Source organism: Homo sapiens, chromosome 13 (assembly GCF_000001405.40).
Source record: "Homo sapiens chromosome 13, GRCh38.p14 Primary Assembly".
In the NCBI taxonomy this organism is placed as follows: domain Eukaryota; kingdom Metazoa; phylum Chordata; class Mammalia; order Primates; family Hominidae; genus Homo; species Homo sapiens.
The window spans coordinates 48,196,964-48,216,340 of record NC_000013.11 but is presented as its reverse complement, the minus strand read 5'-3'; the positions used below and the strand labels follow the sequence as shown (position 1 = coordinate 48,216,340).

General features: G+C 40.7%; 1 long non-coding RNA gene across 4 annotated transcripts in view, besides 1 other annotated feature; it reads left to right on the top strand.

Annotated features, from left to right (window-relative positions):
* Positions 1-19,377, top strand: part of LOC105370198 (uncharacterized) — a 114,265-nt gene that overhangs the window by 5,969 nt on the left and 88,919 nt on the right. The window contains exon 3 of one of the 4 annotated variants that reach the window (XR_007063793.1): positions 5,747-7,506. The exons of the other annotated variants lie outside the window; for them this stretch is intronic. This is a non-coding gene — a long non-coding RNA (uncharacterized LOC105370198). Of the gene's footprint in view, positions 1-5,746; positions 7,507-19,377 lie in introns of those variants that run through there. 4 annotated transcript variants of the gene reach the window in all.
* Positions 16,594-16,888: a silencer, noted in NCBI's record as "tiled region #1366; K562 Repressive non-DNase unmatched - State 23:Low". NCBI's record gives its function as "represses a minimal TATA promoter and a strong SV40 promoter by Sharpr-MPRA in K562 cells {active_cell/tissue: K562}" and the evidence as "EXISTENCE:reporter gene assay evidence [ECO:0000049][PMID:27701403]".

Below are 19,377 nucleotides of genomic sequence, written 5' to 3'. Positions count from 1 at the left end.
CATTTTTCCCATTGTCTTCATGATTTGCATTTGGCTCCTTGTTACTTATGCAAATTTCTGCAACTGGCTTGAATTTCTCCCCAGAAAATGTATTTTTCTTCTGCATTGTCAGGCTGCAAATTCACTTCTTAAATGCTTTACTGCTTAGAAATTTCTTCCACCAGATACTCTAAATAATCTCTCTCAAGTTCAAAGTTCCACAGATCTCTAGGGCAGGGGCAAAATGCCAGTCTCTTTGCTAAAGCATACCAAGAGTCACCTTTGTTCTAATTCCTGGGAAGTTCCTCATCTCCATCTGAGACCACCTCAGCCTGGACTTAATTGTCCATATCTCTATCAGTGTGTTGGTCAAAACCAACAAGTCTCTAGGAAGTTCCAAACTTATCACATCATCCTGTCTTCTGAGTCCTCCAAGTCTCTAGGAAGTTCCAAACTTTCCCACATTTTCCTGTCTTCTTCTGAGCCCCCCAAACTGTTACAGCTTCTGCCTGTTACCCAGTTCCAAAGTTGCTTCCACATTTTTTGATATCTTTACAGCAGCACTCTGCTCTTTATGGTACCAATTTACTGTATTAATCTGTTTTCACACTGCTAATTAAGACATACCTGAGGCTGGGCATGGTGAGTCACACCTGTAGTCCCGACAATTTGGAGGCTGAGATGGGTGGATCACCTGAGGTCAGGAGTTCAAGACCATCCTGGCCAACATAGCAAAACCTCATCTCTACTAAAAATACAAAAATTAGCCATGCATGGTGGTGCATGCCTAAAATGCCAGCTCTTGGGAGGCTGAGGCAGGAGAATCACTTGAACCTGGGAGGTGGAGGTTGCAGTGAGCTGAGATCACACCACTGCACTCCAGCCTGGGCAACAGAGCAAGACTCCATCTCAGAAAAATAAAAAATAAAAAAAAGACATATCTGAGACTGGTAATTTGTGAAGAAAAGAGATTTAATTGACTCACAGTTCCACAGGGATGGGGAGGGCTCAGGAAACTTACAATCATGGTGGAAGGGGAAACAAACACATCCTTCTTCACATGGTTCAGGAAGGAGAAATGCCAAGCAAAAGGAGAATAGCCCTTTATAAAACCATCAGATCATGTGAGAACTCACTATCACAAGAGCAACATGGAGGTAACCACCCCCATGATTCAATTACCTCCCACCAGGTCCCTCCCACAACACAGGGATTATGGGAACTACAATTCAAGATGAGATTTGGGTGAGGACACATCTGAACCATGTCACTCAGTAACAAACCAGCCCCAAATTCTGTGGTTTACAACAAAGACAATTATTTATTTATCTTGCCCATCAATCTTTAATTTGGGCAAGGCTCAGCAAGGATGCCTTATCCCACAGCATCATCGGGGGTGGCTGGTTTGGGCACTGAAGGATATCCCTTCAAGATGACTCACCCATGTGGCTAGCAAGTTGCTGCTGGCTGCTTACCCAGCACAGCCTAGGCTGAAAGCTGGGGCCCTTGGTTATGCTCCACTTAGGCTTCCTCATTGGCTTCTTGGGCTTCCTTACAGAATGGTAGACCAGTTCCAAGAGCAAGGGTATTAAAAGAACCCAAGCAGAAGTTGTTTTGCATTTTATAACCTAGAGTTGGAGGTCACACAGTGTCAGTTCTGTCAGTCACAAGACCAGACAGAATCAAGGAGAACATAGATCTCACTTCTGAATGAGAGGAGTGTCAAAGAAGAGCATGTGGGTTGTTTGGTTGCTGCAGACAGATTGGAAGAATATACTCTACCACAAACACTTTTATATATGTGACAATACAGATAGGAAGTCAGATGTGAGATGGGAAAATGCAGTAACAATGTAAAAAATGCTAAATTAAAAATCTCCAAAAGAATTAAAAATTTTGAACAGTGTTTGGCAGGGCTGAAGGTACATTATAAATTGGTTTAAGTTTTTTTGAACACTTCTTGATAGTATTCATACTCTGAAATAATATAAAAATATGGAAGCATTCTAAATACTAATAAGAAGTTAGTGAACATGGTGATTCCATATTGTTTAATAATTATATGGCTAGTAAAAATGGCAACTTTGTAAACTTATAAGTAAATGGACACACTAACAAAACAACACAAAAATAGTATGCATAAAGTACTAGAATTGTGCAACAGGTATATATATATAATGACAGATTAGACGTGAATAGAGAACAATAGAAATATAATTGAATGGTCATTGTGTTCTTTTTTCTATGAACTTGCTTAAATATATGGTACTAATAAATGATTTTAACACACTATATAAATTAAATGTATCACAAACTCCAAAAATCATAAATACAATACATTAAAGAAAGAACTCACAAAAGATACAGCAATCCCACTACTGGGTGTATATCCAAAGGAAATGAAATCAATATGCTGAAGAGATAGCTGCACTCCATTGTTTATTGCACATATAGCCAATATATGGAATATATATATTACCCAAGATATGGAATAATAATATATTAATGTATATAATAATAATAGCCAAGATATGGAATCAACCTAAGTGTCCATCAATGGATGAATGGATAAATAAAAGGTGGTTTATATATACAATGGAGTACTATTAAGCCATAAAAGAGAACATGGCCAGGTGCAGTGGCTCATGCCTATAATCCCAACACTTTTGGAGGCCAAGGCAGTCAGGCAGATCACTTGACCAGCCTGGGAAACATAGCAAAACCCCATCTCTACAAAAAATTAGCTGAGTGTGGTGGCATGTGCCTGTAGTCTCAGCTGCTTGGGAGGCTGAAGCAGGAGAATGACTTGAGCTCGGGAGTTTGAGGCTGCAGTGAGCCAAGATCATGCCACTGCACTCCAGCCTGGGTGACAGAGTGAAACCCTGTCACAAAAATAAATAAATAAACAAACAAACAAATAAATATAAAAAATAAAAGAGAACAAAATCCTGTCATTTGCAGCAATATGGATAGAACTAGAGGTCATTGTGTTAAGCAAATAAGCCAGGCACAGAAAGACCACATGAACTCTCTCATAGATGGAATCTAAAAAAGCTGACCTTATAGAAGAGGAGAATAGAATGGTGATTACCAGAGCTTGAGCAGTTAGGGGACAACGGGACTGGGAGATGTTGTTCAAAGAATATGTAATTACAGCTATATAGGAGGAATTTTTAAATGTCCAGAATAGGCAAATAAATACATGATTGTTCAGGGCTGGAGGGGCAGAGGGGAAAGGATGGGTTTTGGAGGGTGGAGAGAAATGGAGAATGAGTACTAATTGTTATTAAGTTTCTTTTTTGGAGGATGAACATGTTCTCAAATGATAGTGGTGATGGTTTCACAACTCTGTGAACATACTAAAAACTATTGGATTTTACACTTTGAGTGAATTGTATGATATGTGAATTATAACTCAAAGCTGTTAAAAAAACTCAAAAAATAGAACCATCCTACTTTTATCATGTATAGGCTAGTAGATACTATTGATTAACAACATGGAATATTTAGTTAAGAATAATTTACTTGCCGTTTAGAATTTAGAAGAATCACTGAGCTATAACTTGGAGGCTTCCGGTACAACTTAAAGCAATAGTCTATAAAGTTAAATCTTGCCCACTCTTCTCTGCATGCTTTTTGTTATCATGGTAGAACTATCTTTCTAGGAGATTAAATTGGAATGGAGGACTGTGCAGAAGGGTCTCTCTACCCACCTGCTCCAATGCCTTAAGTTTGCAAAAAGTTATGAAGGAGAGAAAAATTAATACTATTGCTTGAAAATAACAAAATGTGCTATCAGTATATCTAAATTTTTTTTAAATTCCAGAAATATTGAAAGCATATTATCAGATTAACAGAGCAAACCTCAGTTTAAAATGTAATGTAAAGCCTAGTGCAGATTATAACAAATGTACCAAACTGCTGCTGGATGTTGGTGGTGGAGGCTGTGTGTGGGAGTGGGTGGATTATGTAATTTCAGCTCCATTTTGCTTTGAACCTAAAACTACCCTAAAAAATAAAGTCTATTAATTTAAAAAACAAAATAACAAAAAACCTAGTGTACCAGAGACTTTACAGGTAGGAGTTGTTGTAAGAATGTTCACATGTTCTAAGCTTTGGATTTAGCTTATGTTCTAGGCATTGGATAAAGGAAGAGGAGAATTCTTTGGTCAACTGCTTTGGAAGCAGAAGGCAAAAATAACATTTACTGGTAGGACAGTTAATGCAGAAAAACAGGGACGTTCTTCAGAGCATGATTTTTAGCTGGAGGTGATATTACTCCCACCAGGGCAAAACTTAGGTCTTGGGTGGGAAATTTTGGGGAAAGAAAACAAAAAAACCTAAATATTGCTATAGTCTGTGGCTCCAACAGGCCACAGTATGTACACAGAGATGTAGCCCATCTGTGGTACTGACATTTCGTGAAGGAGAGGTGGTGATTAGGAAAAAAATGTCTACAAAGTTTCCTTAGGAGGGTGATAATGAAAAAAAGATTGAGAAGCATTGCTCCAGAACGTAGTAACCCAGAAGAGGGGTGGAAGAAGGGATGGGCTGCTAGTTTTGATGTGTCTGGCCTGGCTCATCCACAAGCAGGGCTGTGCAATCACAGAGACCAGCAGCAAGCCAAGAATCACCAGACTTTTAAGGAAAACCAACACTGTGAAAGACAGGCACCAAACCCAATAAATATAAGTATGAATGCCCAAGGAAACAGTCAATAGAGCAAACAAGATTTTAAGTTGGACTATAATTAAAAACCTTAGAGCTATAAAAGGATACTGCAACCACAATAGCAGATAGTTTTTAAAGAATCAGTTATTGATTTTGAAAATAAAAAATATGGGCCAGGGGGCCAGGCACGGTGGCTTACACATGTAATCCCAGCACACTGGGAGGCCGAGGCAGGCGGATCACCTGAGGTCAGGAGTTCGAGACCAGCCTGGCCAATATGGTGAAACCCCATCTCTATTAAAAATACAAAAATTAGCTGGGCCTGGTGGCACGTGCCTGTAGTCCCAGCTACTCGGGAGGCTGAGGCAGGATAATCGTTTGAACCCGGGAGGTGGGGGTTGCAGTGAGCCAAGATTGCACCACTGCACTCCAGCCTGGGTGACAGAGAGAGACTCCATCTCAAAGGGGAAAAAAAAAAAAAAGAGGCCGGACATGGTGGCTCACACCTGTAATCCCAGTACTTTGGGAGGCCAAGGTGGGTGGATCACTTGAGGTCAGGAGTTTGAGACCAGCCTGGCCAACATGGCAAAACCCGTTTCATCTAAAAATACAAAAATTAGTCGGGTGTGGTGGCACACACCTGTAATCCCAGCTACTTAGGAGGCTGAGGCCAGAGAATTGCTAGAACCCCAGAAATGGAAGTTGCAGTGATCCGGGATCATGCCACTGCACTCCAGCCTGGGCGACAGAGTGAGAATCTTTCTCAAAAAAAAAAAAAAAAAAAAAGACAAGAAAAAAAGAAAAGAAAAAATATAATCACTGAAATAAGGGGCCTACTAGATAAACCAAATAGCAGAATAAATATAGCAAAGAATAAAATAGTGAACTGTAAGAAATGAGACAAGAATCCAGCCAAAGTGGAGCACACCACACAGAGATGGAAAGCACAGCCGAAAAAGGAATAAAACAATAAGTTCATGCATCTTAATTGCACAATTGTATGTTTTTTGGGGGGGTGACAGAAAAAACTTATACCTACAGATAGATATGATAGGTAGTCTTCTAAAATGGCCCCGTTTTCTTTTCCTTTCTATAGGAGGGGAACTTCCTAGGACAACTTTATAAAATCCTTACTTCATAGAGTTATTGTGAGAATTATTATCACAAGATGAACCTCATTTGTGCAGCTCACGAAGTAAGACACTTTCCTTTATTCTCAACTGCACTACCATTACCTTATGTGTGACTAAGATCTTTCGTGTCATTACATGGTGAGATCTTAGTATCAATAAGCAGGTTTGAAATGATTCAGTACTTTCTCTAACTTTATTGCACAATAGTAGTGAGTAGAGCACTGAGTCAGTTGGAGAAAAAATAGCCTGTCTTAAGTCAAGTGAGTAAGAACTACAAATAATAGAAGCCCTCAAACTGCATATTAACTGCACTTTACAATTAGTTGTTAACTGTAATAGGAAACTAATCATCCACGTGTTATAGGTTCAGGAAAATAGAAAGACAGAGTTTGCATGATTTTTTCAATGCTGTCAAACAACAGCAATACTGGGACATCCCGTAATTCCTTTCTGCTATTCCACTGGACTTTTGCAATGCACTTGTGGCTCATGTAGACTTAACTATTCTCTGGTAAAGATAATAGTAAATATTGATTGAACACTATTATATTTCAGGCATCTAGGTGCTTTACATGTATTAACTCAGGTAATTAATCCACAGGACATCCATACAAGGTAAGTATTACTATTATCCCCATTTTATAGGTGAGAAAATTGAGGCTCACAGATGTTCAAGCAATGTCCCTAACAACTAGTGACAGAGTCCAGGGTGAACCAGGCAGTCTGGCTCCAAAGCCTATGCTCTTAACTTTGTGTGCAGTGGAGACACTTCGGGTTTATAGACTGAGACTGGAAGTACTGGAGGCTTTGAAACGTTTCCTAGGGTGGAAGTAGAGAAATTCATTGTACTACCGGGCACTCAGACATTTCAGAAAGAGTTGTTACTGGCTGGCAGTAAATGCTGATTCCACTTCCAACGGTTTACTTGTATCTTACTTTGTTACTTTCTCTTGACTTCTTTTCTTCCTTTTTTTCAAGCCTAACTAAAGAGGAGGGTGGCCGTAAGTACCAAGCTGGCAGGCCCCTTGTACTGAACAGTGTGTACACATGAGAGAGTAGTTTCAAGGTACCAGGGGGAGGCACACATATGGTGATCTTTCAAATTTCAAAGTAAAATATGGGAAGCCTACTTTCATTCTTTTACCATATTGGTGTTTTTCAAATTACATTTGCTATTGGTTTGGTTTTTGTCAAGATTTTCATAGAAAGACGTATCTGTACTACACTAGCTTGTGACCATGTTTTAAAAAATTATAATAGTAATATATGCTCATCATAACAAAAAAATTGAAGAGTACAGATTTGCATAGAGCAAAAAACCTTCCTTTGGGGCAGAGATTTAAATGTAAATATGAACCTTAAATTACTAGAAGAAAATATTGGTGAATTTAAATAATTATCTTAGAATGAGGGAAGGACTCTAGGCATAAAATAATATCCTGTAAGAATAAAGGAAAACATCAGTACATTAAATTGCATAAACTTTCTCATGAAAAATGTACCGTAAAAAACTAAAAAGATAACAAAAGCAGGGGGATACAATTTTTAATACTATGAGAAATTGCTATTTTTAAAAACCATACAAACAGCTGCTTCAAATCAACAAGAAAATTATAATTAAATAGAAAAGCAGGCAAAAGGCATGAAAGTTTAACAACAAAAAGCCTATAAAATGGATGTAATGGATGTATTTTTCATATGATTATTAAAGATTTAAACTTGGAGACGCAATTTCACTCTTGTCACCCAGGCTGGAGTGCAATGGCACGATCTCAGCTCACTGCAACCTCTGCCTCCCAGGCTCAAGTGACTCCTGCATCAGCCTCCTAAGTAGCTGGGATTACAGGCGCCTGCCATCACACCCGGCTAATTTTTGTATTATTAGTAGAGACAGGGTTTCACCATGTTGGCCAGGCTGGTCTCCAGCTCCTGACCTCATGTGATCCACCTGCCTCGGCCTCCCAAAGTGCCGGCATTACAGGCGTGAGCCACCATGCCTGGCCGATTTAAACTTTTTATAGTATCCAGTGTTGGCAAGGATGTGAAGAAGTAAGTAGGCTCACATACTCTTAGTGGAAGTAGAAATTGATATAACCTTTTGGAAGGCAATATAGCAGTATTTTTTTTATTACACTTTAAGTTCTCAGGTACATGTGCACAATATGCAGGTTTGTTACATAGGTGTATGTTGCAGGAAGTCAGGGACCCCGAACGGAGGGACCGGCTGGAGCTGAGTCACAAAAACATAAATTGTGAAGATTTCATGGACATTTATCAGTTCCCAAAATTAATACTTTTATGATTTCTTACACCCGTCTTTACTGCAGTCTCTGAACATAAATTGTGAAGATTTCATGAACATTTATCACTTCCCTAATACTAATAATACTCTTATAATTTCTTATGCCTGTCTTTTTTTTTTTTTTTTTTTTTTTTTTTTTGAGACGGAGTCTCACTCTGTCGCCCAGGCTGGAGTGCAGTGGCGTGATCTTGGCTCACTGCAAGCTCCACCTCCTGGGTTCACGCCATTCTCCAGCCTCAGCCTCCTGTGTAGCTGGGACTACAGGCACCCGCCACCATGCCCAGCTAATTTTTTGTATTTTTTTAGTAGAGACGGGGTTTCACTGTGTTAGCCAGGATGGTCTCGATCTCCTGACCTCGTGATCTGCCCACCTCGGCCTCCCAAAGTGCTGGAATTATAGCCATGAGCCACCGCGCCCGGCCACCTGTCTTTACTTTAATCTCTTAATACTGTTATCTTCATTGGCCGAGAATGTATGTCACCTCAGGAACACTATTGTACAAATTGATTGTAGAACATGTATGTTTTGAACAATATGAAATCTGATTGTTAAACATGTGCGTTTGAACAATATGAAATCAGTGCACCCTGAAAAGAACAGAATAACAGCGATTTTCAGGGAACAAGGGAAGATAACCCTAAGGTCTGACTGCCTACGGGGTTGGGCAGAATAGAGCCATATTTTTCTTCTCACAGAAAGCCTATAGACAGATGTGCGAATAAGAGAAATATCACTGAATTATTTTCCCAGCAAGGAATAACCCTGGGGAAGGAATGCATTCCTGGGGGCAGGTCTATAGACAGCCACTCTGGGAGTGTCTGTCTTATATGGTTGAGATAAGGACTGAAATACGCCCTGGTCTCCTGCAGTACCCTCAGGCTTACTAGGATTGGGAAATTCCAGCCTGGTAAATTCTAGCCAGACTAGTTCTCTGCTCTCGAGCCCTGTTTCCTGTTAAGATGTTTATCAAAACAATATGTGCACAGTGGGACATAGAACCTCATCAGTAATTCTAATTTTGCCTTTGCCTTGTGATCTTTATGGCCCTTTGAAGCATGTGATCCTTGTGATGTACTCCCTGTTCGTACACCCCGTCCCCTTTTAAAATCCCTAATAAAAACTTGCTGGTTTTGCGGCTCGGGGTCATCATCATGGTCCTACCAATATGTGATGACACCCCCAGAGGCCCAGTTGTAAAATTTCTCTCTTTGTACTCTTCCTCTTTATTTCTCAGACTGGCCGACACTTAGGGAAAATAGAAAAAACCTACGCTGAAATATTGGGGGCTGGTTCCCCCGATAGGTATGCATGTGCCACGTTGGTTTGCTGCACCCATTAACTCGTCATTTACATTAGGTATTTCTCCTAATGCTATCCCTCCCCCAACCCTCCACCCCGCAACAGGCCCCAGTGTGTGATGTTGCCCTTCCTGAGTCCATGTGTTCTCATTGTTCAACTCCCACTTATGAGTGAGAACATGCGGTGTTTGGTTTTCTGTCCTTGTGATATTTTGCTGAGAATGATGGTTTCCAGCTTCATCCATGTCCCTGCAAAGGACATGAACTCATCCTTTTTTATGGCTGCATAGGATTCCATGGAGTATTTGAGCCACATTTTCTTAATCCAGTCTATCATTGATGGACATTTGGGTTGGTTCCAAATCTTTGCCATTGGGAATAGTGCCACAGTAAACATACATGTGCATGTGTCTTTATAGCAGCATGATTTACAATCCTTTGGGTATATATCCAGTAACAGGATTGCTGGGTCACACGATATTTCTAGTTCTAGATCCTTGAGGAGTCGCCACACTGTCTTCCACAATGGTTGAACTAGTTTACAGTCCCACCAACAGTGTAAAAGTGTTGCTATTTCTCCACATTCTCTCCAGCATCTGTTGTTTCCTGACTTCTTAATGATCGCCATTCTAACTGGTGTGAGATGGTAGCTCATTGTGGTTTTGATTTGCATTTCTCTGATGACCAGTGATGATGAGCATTTTTTCATGTGCCTGTTGGCTACGTAAATGTCTTCTTTTGAGAAGTGTCTGTTCATATCCTTCATCCACTTTTTGATGGGGTTGTTTGTTTTTTTTGTTGTAAATTTGTTTAAGTTCTTTGTAGATTCTGGATATTAGCCCTTTGTCAGAAGGATAGATTGCAAAAATTTTCTCCCATTCTGTAGGTTGCCTGTTCACTCTGATGATAGTTTCTTTTGCTGTGCAGAAGCTCTTTAGTTTAATTAGATCCCATTTGTCAATTTTGGCTTTTGTTGCCATTGCTTTTGGTGTTTTAGTCATGAAGACTTTGCCCAAGCCTATGTCCTGAATGGTATTGCCTAGGTTTTCTTCTAGGGTTTTTATGGTTTTAGGTCTTACATTTAAGTCTTTAATCCATCTTGAGATAATTTTTGTATAAGATGTAAGGAAGGGATCCAGTTTCAGCTTTCTACATATGGCTAGCCAGTTTTCCCAGCACCATTTATTAAATAGGGAATCCTTTCCACATTGCTTCTTTTTGTCAGGTTTGTCTAAGGTCAGATGGCTGTAGATGTGTGGTGTTATTTCTGAGGCCTCTGTTCTGTTCCATTGGTCTATATATCTGTTTTGGTATCAGTACCAAGCTGTTTTGGTTACTGTAGCCTTGTAGTATAGTTTGAAGTAAGGTAGCATGATGCCTCCAGCTTTGTTCTTTTGGCTTAGGATTGTCTTGGCTATGCAGGCTCTTTTTTGGTTCCATATTAACTTTAAAGTAGTTTTTTCCAATTCTGTGAAGAAAGTTATTGGTAGCTTCATGGGGATAGCATTGAATCTATAAATTACTTTGGGCAATGTGGCCATTTTCATGATATTGATTCTTCCTATCCATGAGCATGGAATGTTCTCCCATTTGTTTGTGTCCTCTTTTATTTTGTTGAGCAGTGGTTTTTAGTTCTCCTTGAAGAGGTCCTTCACATCCTTTCTAAGTTGGATTCCTAGGTATTTTATTCTCTTTGTAGCAATTGTGAAGGGGGTTTACTCATGATTTGGCTCTCTGTCTGTTATTGTTGTATACGAATGCTTGTGATTTTTGCACATTGATTTTCTATCCTGAGACTTTGCTGAAGTTGCTTATCAGCTTAAGGAGACTTTGGGCTGAGACGATAGGGTTTTCTAAATATACAGTCATGTCATCTGCAAACAGAGACAATTTGACTTCCTTTTTTCCTAACTGAATACTCTTTCTTTCTTTCTCTTGCCTGATTGCCCTGGCCAGAAATTCCAATACTGTGTTGAATAGGAGTGGTGAGAGAGGGTATCCTTGTCTTGTGCCTGTTTTCAAAGGGAATGCTTCCAGTTTTGCCCATTCAGTATGATATTGGCTGTGGGTTTCTCATAAATGGCTCTTATTATTTTGAGATACATTCAATTAATACCTAGTTTATTGAGAGTTTTTAGCAAGAAGGGCTGTTGAATTTTGTCAAAAGCATTTTCTGCATCTATTGAGATAATCATGTGGCTTTTGTCTTTGGTTCTGTTTATGTGATGGATTACATTTATTGATTTGAGTATGTTGAATCAGCCTTGCATCACAGGGATGAAGCCGACTTGATCATGGTGGATAAGCTTTTTGATGTGCTGCTGGATTCAGTTTGCCAGTATTTTATTGAGGATTTTCACATCAATGTTCATCACGGATATTGGCTTAAAATTCTCTTTTTTTTTGTTGTGTCTCTGCCAGGCTTTGGTATCAGGATGATGCTGGCCTCATAAAATGAGTTAGGGAGGATTCTCTCTTTTTCTATTGATTGAAATAGTTTCAGAAGGAATGGTACCAGCTCCTCTTTGTACCTCTGGTAGAATTCAGCTGTGAATCCGTCTGGTCCTGCACTTTCTTTGGTTGGTAGGCTATTAATTATTGCCCCAATTTCAGAACCGGTTATTGGTCTATTCAGAGATTCGACTTCTTGTGAGTTACTCTTGGGAGGGTGTATGTGTCCAGGAATTTATCCATTTCTTCTAGATTTTCTAGTTTATTTACATAGAGGTGTTTATAGTATTCTCTGATGGTAGTTTGTATTTCTGTGGGATCGGTGGTGATATCCCTTTTATCATTTTTTATTGCGTCTATTTGATTCTTCTCTCTTTTCTTCTTTATTAGTCTGGCTTGTGGTCTATCTATTTTGTTGATCTTTTCAAAAAACCAGCTCCTGGATTCACTGATTCTTTGAAGGGTTTTTCGTGACTCTATCTCCTTCAGTTCTTCTCTGATCTTAGTTATTTCTTGTCTTCTGCTAGCTTTTGAATTTGTTTGCTTTTGCTTCTGTAGTTCTTTTAATTGTGATGTTAGGGTGTCGATTTTACATCTTTCCTGCTTTCTCTTGTGGGCATTTAGTGCTATAAATTTCTCTTTAGACACTACTTTAAATGTGTCCCAGAGATTCTGGTACGTTGTGTCTTTGTTCTCATTGTTTTCAAAGAACATCTTTATTTCGCCTTCATTTCATTATTTACCCAGTAGTCACTCAGGAGCAGGTTGTTCAGCTTCCATGCAGTTGTGCAGTTTTGAGTGAGTTTCTTAATCCTGAGTTCTAATTTGATTGCACTGTGGTCTGAGAGACAGTTTGTTGTGATTTCTGTTCTTTTACATTTGCTGAGGAGTGTTTTAGTTGCAAGTATGTGGTCAATTTTAGAATAAGTGTGGTGTGGTGCTGAGAAGAACTTATATTGTGTTAATTTGGGGTGGAGAGTTCTGTAGATGTCTATTAGGTCTGCTTGGTCCAGAGCTGAGTTCAAGTCCTGGATATCCTTGTTAATTTTCTGTCTTGTTGATCTGTCTAATATTGACAATGGGGTGTTAATTGGACAGTCTCCGATTATTACTGTGTGGGAGTCTAAGTCTCTTTCCAGGTCTTTAAGAACTTGCTTTATGAATCTGGGTGCTCCTGTATTGGGTGCAAATATATTTAGGATAGTTAGCTCTTTTTGTTGAATTGATCCCTTTACCATTATGTAATGGCCTTGTCTCTTTTGGTCTTTGTTGGTTTAAAGTCTGTTTAATCAGAGACTAAGATTGCAACCCCTGCTTTTTTTTGCTTTCCATTTGCTTGGTAGATCTTCCTCCATCCCTTTATTTTGAGCCTATGTGTGTCTTTGCATGTGAGATGGGTCTCCTGAATATAGACCACCAATGGGTCTTGACTCTTTATCCAATTTGCCAGTCTGTGTCTTTTAGTTGGGGCATTTAGCCCATTTACATTTAAGGTAATATTGTTATGTGTGAATTTGATCCTGTCATTATGATGCTAGGTGGTTATTTTAACCATTAGTTGATGCAGTTGTTTCATAGTGTCGATGGTCTTTACAATTTGGCATGTTTTTGCAATGGCTGGTACCGGTTCTTCCTTTCCATGTTTAGTGCTTCCTTCAGGAGCTCTTGTAAGGCAGGCCTGGTGGTGACAAAATCTGTCAGCATTCACTTGTCTGTAAAGGATTTTATTTCTACTTCACTTATGAAGCTTAGTTTGGCTGGATATAAAATCTGAGTTAAAAATTCTTTTCTTTAAGAATGTTGAATATTGGCCCCCCCTCTCTTCTTGCTTGTAGGGTTTCTGCTGAGAGATCCGCTGTTAGTCTGATGGGCTTCCCTTTGTGGGTAACCCGACCTTTCTTTCTGGCTGCCCTTAACATTTTTTCCTTCATTTCAACCTTGGTGAATCTGATAATTATGTGTCTTGGGGTTGCTCTTCTCAAGGAATATCTTTGTGGTGTTCTCTGTATTTCCTGAATTAGAATGTTGGCCTGCCTTGCTAGACTGGGGAAGTTCTCCTGGAGAGTATCCTGAAGAGTGTTTTCTAACTGGGTTCCATTCTCCCTGTCACTTTCAGGTACACCAATCAAACATAGATTTGGTCTTTTCACATAGTCCCATATTTCTTGGAGGCTTTGTTCATTTCTTTTCACTCTTTTTTCTCTAATCTTGCTTCTCGCTTTATTTCATTAATTTGATCTTCAATCACTGATATCCTTTCTTCCGCTTGATCAAATCGGCTATTGAAGTTTGTGTATGCTTCACAAAGTTCTTCTGCTGTGTTTTTCAGCTCCATCAGGTCATTTATGTTCTCTACACTGGTTATTCTGGTTAGCCATTCATCTAACCTTTTTTCAAGGTTTTTAGCTTCCTTGAAATGGCTTAGAACATGCTCCTTTAGCTCAGAGAAGTTTGTTGATACTCACCTTCTGAAACCTACTTCTGTCAACTCATCAAACTCATTCTCTGTCCAGTTTTGTTCCCTTGCTGGCGAGGAGTTGTGATCCTTTGGAGGAGAAGAGGCATTCTGGTTTTTGAAATTTTCAGCCTTTCTGCTCTGGTTTCTCCCCATCTTTGTGATTTTATCTACCTTTGGTCTTTGATGTTGGTGACCTACGGATGGGGTTTTGGTGTGGATGTCCTTTTTGTTGATGTTGATGCTATTCCTTTCTGTTTGTTAGTTTTCCTTTTAACAGTCAGGCCCCTCAGCTGCAGGTCTGTTGGAGTTTGCCGGAGGTCCACTGCAGACCCTGTTTGCCTGGGTATCACCAGCGGAGGCTGCAGAACAGCAAATATTGCTGCCTGATCCTTCCTCTGGAAGCTTTGTCCCAGAGGGGCACCTGTCTGTATGAGGTGTCTGTTGGACCCTACTGGGAGATGTCTCCCAGTCAGGCTACATGGGGGTCAGAGACCCACTTTAGGAGGCAGTCTGTCCATTATCAAAGCTCGAACACCATGCTGGAGAACCACTGCTGTCTTCAGAGCTGTCAGGCAGGGATGTTTAAGTCTGTAGAAGCTGTGACCACAGCTGCCCCTTCCCCCAGGTGCTCTGTCCCAGGGAGATGAGGGTTTTATCTATAAGTCCCTGACTGGGGCTGCTGCTTTTTCTTCAGATATGCCCTGCCCATAGAGGTGGAATCTAGAGAGGCAGTCGGCCTTGCTGAGCTGCAGTGGACTCTGCCCAGTTTGAACTTGCTGGCAGCTTTGTTTACACTGTGAGGGTAAAACTGTCTACACAAGCCTCAGCAATGTCAGATGCCCCTCCCCCCACCAAGCTTGAGTGGCCCAGGTGGATCTCAGACTGCTGCGCTAGTGGGGAGAATTTCAAGCCAATGGATCTTAGCTTGCTGGGCTCTGTGGCATGGGACCCCTCAAGGCAGGCACTGGAGGACATCTCCTGGTCTGCCGGTTGCAAAGACCATGGGAAAAGCACAGTATTTGGGCAGAAGTGTACCATTCTTCCCGGTACAGTCTCTTATGGCTTCCCTTGGCTAGGAAAGGGAAATCCCCTGACCCCTTGTGCTTCCCAGGTGAGGTGATGCCCCACCCTGCTTCAGCTCACCCTCTGTGGGCTGTACTCACTGTCCAACGAGTCTCAATGAGATGAACCAGGTACCTCGGTTGGAAATGCAGAAATTGCCTGTCTTCTACCATCTTGGAAGAGTCTCCAACAATATAGCAGTATTTATGAACATTTTAAATTCTCAGACTTTTTGACCAAGCAATTCCACTAGAAATTCATTTTATGCACATATTGATACAGACATACCATAATATGTGTCACTGTGCCATGTTTGTAATGGGGAAAAACTGCAAACGACCTACATATTCCACAGTAGGAGAAGCTATGTTGTGTCACTTCCACAAGATAGTACCCAGTGTTTAAATAATGAAGCAAAACTGAATGTGCTTAGTTGGAAAGATGTTCACAATATATCATTTAGTGAAAAAGGCAATTTACAGTAAAACATATATAAAATGATCCCATTTGGGTATGTGTATTTTATAGTGTATATATGTGTGTATGTGGTGTGTGTGTGTATTGGCTAGGTTGCTTTTGTTGCAAATAAATGGAAAACCATGAAATATATTAGGTTCCATAGTTGGAAGTGCAGAGGCTGGTTAGGCTTAGGGTTGGTATGAGTGGCTTAATCCAGTGGCCTGACTCTGTTTCTGTGATTCTCGTGGCTCAGCTTCCTCTGCTGACTTTTCCTCAAACTGGTTCCACATTTGGGGGTCACCTCCAACCTTGGTTCTCTGAGAAGAAACCCCCAGCAAATTTCTCCTTGAATCTCATTACTCTGAACTGGGCCATGAGAGCGACTCATGTGCCCATTCTCAACACAGTCCCTGGGACAGGAAAATATCCTTTGCCAATGGCTTAGGCCTGGATTTCTGAACCAGTTACTGGTAAGGGAGAAGGATGTAACATAATTATCTAAGACTAATCAGGGCTTACCCAAGAATTAGAACTCACCAAATGAAATGGCAATTATACATGGAATGGAATGGAGTCAAGGGCTATGGGGGTAAACACAGATTTTTATTTTTCCCTTCTTAGCCTTCTAAACTGTTAACTTTTTTTTAATAGTTGCATGTGTCTGACTCAGGATCTTAGCAGGAAGCATATGAACAGATGGCATACTCAAAAGGGCTTAATAAAGAGACTTTAACCAAAGGACTATTTACCTAGGTGTGGGCAAGGTTAAAGGAACAAAAAAAGAGGTCGTGAAGCATGCAGGTACTAACAACAGCAGGAATTTATTTCTACTTCTAGGCCTGAAGGGGAAAGGGGGCAGGGGTGGGGCAAAATGATGGTGAGGAAGCCTCAAGTGAGCCTGTGCTAAGCAAGAGGAATGAAAAGCAGCTACTGCCTGAATAGTAGTGAGCCAGGAAGTGGGTGTTCATGTGGGGCAATAAATAAAGACCTCTTGCTGGGTGTGCTGGCTCACACCTGTAATCCCAGCACTTTGGGAGGCTTAGGTGGGTGGATCACGAGGTCAGGAGTTCGAGACCAGCCTGACCAACATGCTGAAACCCCATCGCTACTAAAAATACAAAAATTAGTGGGGCATAGTGGCACGTGCCTGTAATCCCAGCCACTCAGGAGGCTGAGGCAGGAGAATTACTTGAACCCAGGAGGCGGAGGTTGCAGTGAGCTGAGATGGTGCCACTGCACTCCAGCCTGGGTGACAGAGCGAGACTCTGTCTCAAAAATAAATAAATAAATAAAATAAAAATAAAGACCTCTTGCTCTCTGTCTCCTGATGGTGCCTCCCATTAGCCCCCCAACCAGAAACCAGAGAACATGGGTGAGGCAATCTGTAGAGGTCAGCTTCTGGGTCTCAGAGCAGGGGGAGAAGGATGGAGAATCGGTGATCGTGGGGGAGAGCACACAGGTGAGACAATCAGCCAGCATAGCTTATTTTACCTAATTGAAAACATGAATGCTCCTTCCTTCTTTCCTTCCTTTCTTTCTTTAGGAGTTTCACTCTTTTGCTCAGGCTGGAGTGAAGTGGCATGATCTTGGCTTACTGCAACCTCTGCCTCCTGGGTTCAAGCGATTCTCCTGCCTCAGTCTCCCAAGTCGCTGGGATTACAGGCATGCACCACCATGCCTAGCTAATTTTTGTATTTTTAGTAGAGACAGGATTTTGCCATGTTGGTCAGGCTGGTCTTGAACTCCTGACCTCAGGTGATCCACCTACTTCGGCCTCCCAAAGTGCTAGGATTATAGGCATGGGGCACTGCGCCTGACCTACATGAATGCTTTTTTAAAATTAAAAAAATGTGGGAAATTCTTTCACTTGCTACAACACAGATGAAGCTTGAAGACATTATGGTAAATGTTAAATAAGCCAGTCACGAAAAGACAAATACTGTATAATACCAGTTATTTGAGGTAACAAAAGTAGTTAAACTTATAGAGACAAAGTAAAGGGAGTTGTTAATGAGTATAGAGTTTCAGTTTTACAAGAAGCAAAAGCTCTAGAAATCTATTGTACAACAACGTGAATGTACTGTTACATTCACTACTGAACTGTACATGTAAAAATAGTTACGATGGATTCTAGCCATTCTAATAGCTCTGTAGGGATATCTCATGCTTTTAATTTGCAATTTCCTACTGACATGATGTTGAGCATTTTTCTTCTTTTTTTGAGACGGAGTTTTGCTCTTGTTGCCCAAGCTTGAGTGCAATGGCCCGATCTCGGCTCACCACAACCTCCACCTCCTGGGTTCAAGCAATTCTCCTGCCTCAGCCTCCCAAGTAGCTGGGATTACAGGCGTGAACCACCATGCCCAGCTAATTTTTGTGTTTTTTTAGTAGAGACGGGGTTTCACCATGCTGGCCAGGCTGGTCTCAAACTCTTGACCTCAGGTGATCCCCCTGCCTCAGCCTCCCAAAGTGCTGGGATTACAGGCATGAGCCACCGTGCCTGACCTAAAAGTATTTAATCTTAACAAAATCCAGCTTATCAATTCTTTTGCTAACAGCACCAAATACTGGCAAAGATGAGGAACAACAAAAACTTTCATTTATTTCTGGTAGAATGTAAAATGGAACAGCCACTTTGGAAGACAGTTGGCAGTTTGGTAAGTATATTCTTACAATATGTTCTAGTCTGTTTTGTGCTGCTATAACAAACACTTGGGACTGTTTAATTTATAAAGAACAGCATTTTATTTCTCACAGTTCTGGAGGGTGGGAAGTCCAAGATCAAGGCACCAGCAGGCTCACTGTCTGGTAAAGGATCCTCCATGCTTCCAAGATGGTACCTTGTTACTGCATCTCACAGAAAGGAAGAACACTGTGTCCTCACACACCAGAGGGCAGAAAGGCAAGAGGAGCAAATGCTTCACAAAGCCTTTTTTTTTTTTTTATAAGGTGCTTAATTCCATTCACAAAGGAGTAGCCCTCATGGCCTAATTGTCTCTTAAGGCTTCACCTCACCAGATGTGGTGGTATCTGCCTATGGTTCCAACTACTTGGGAGGCTGAGGCCAGACAATCATTTGAGTTCAGGAATTCAAGACTAGCCTGGGCAACATAGCAAGACCCTATCTTTAAAAAAGGAAAAAAGATCCACTTTTCAGTACCATCACATTGGCCATTAAGTTTCGACACCTGAATTTTGGAGGGGATACATTTAAACCATAGTGTCATATGATCCAGCAATCATGCTCTTTGGTGTTACCCTAAGGAATTGAAAACTGTGTTCACACAAATACCTGTCCATAGATGATTATAGCATCTTTTTTCATAATTGCCAAAACTTGGAAGCAACCAAGATGACTTCAGAAGGTTAATAGATGAATGAACTGTGGTACATCTATATAGTGGAATACTATTCAATGATAAAAAGAAATGAAATGAGATATCAAGCCATGGAAAGACATGGAGGAATCTTAAATGCCTATTATTAAGTGAAAGAAGCCACTCTGAAAAGGCTACGTACTGTATGATTCCAACTATATGACATTCTGGAAAAAGGCAAAACTA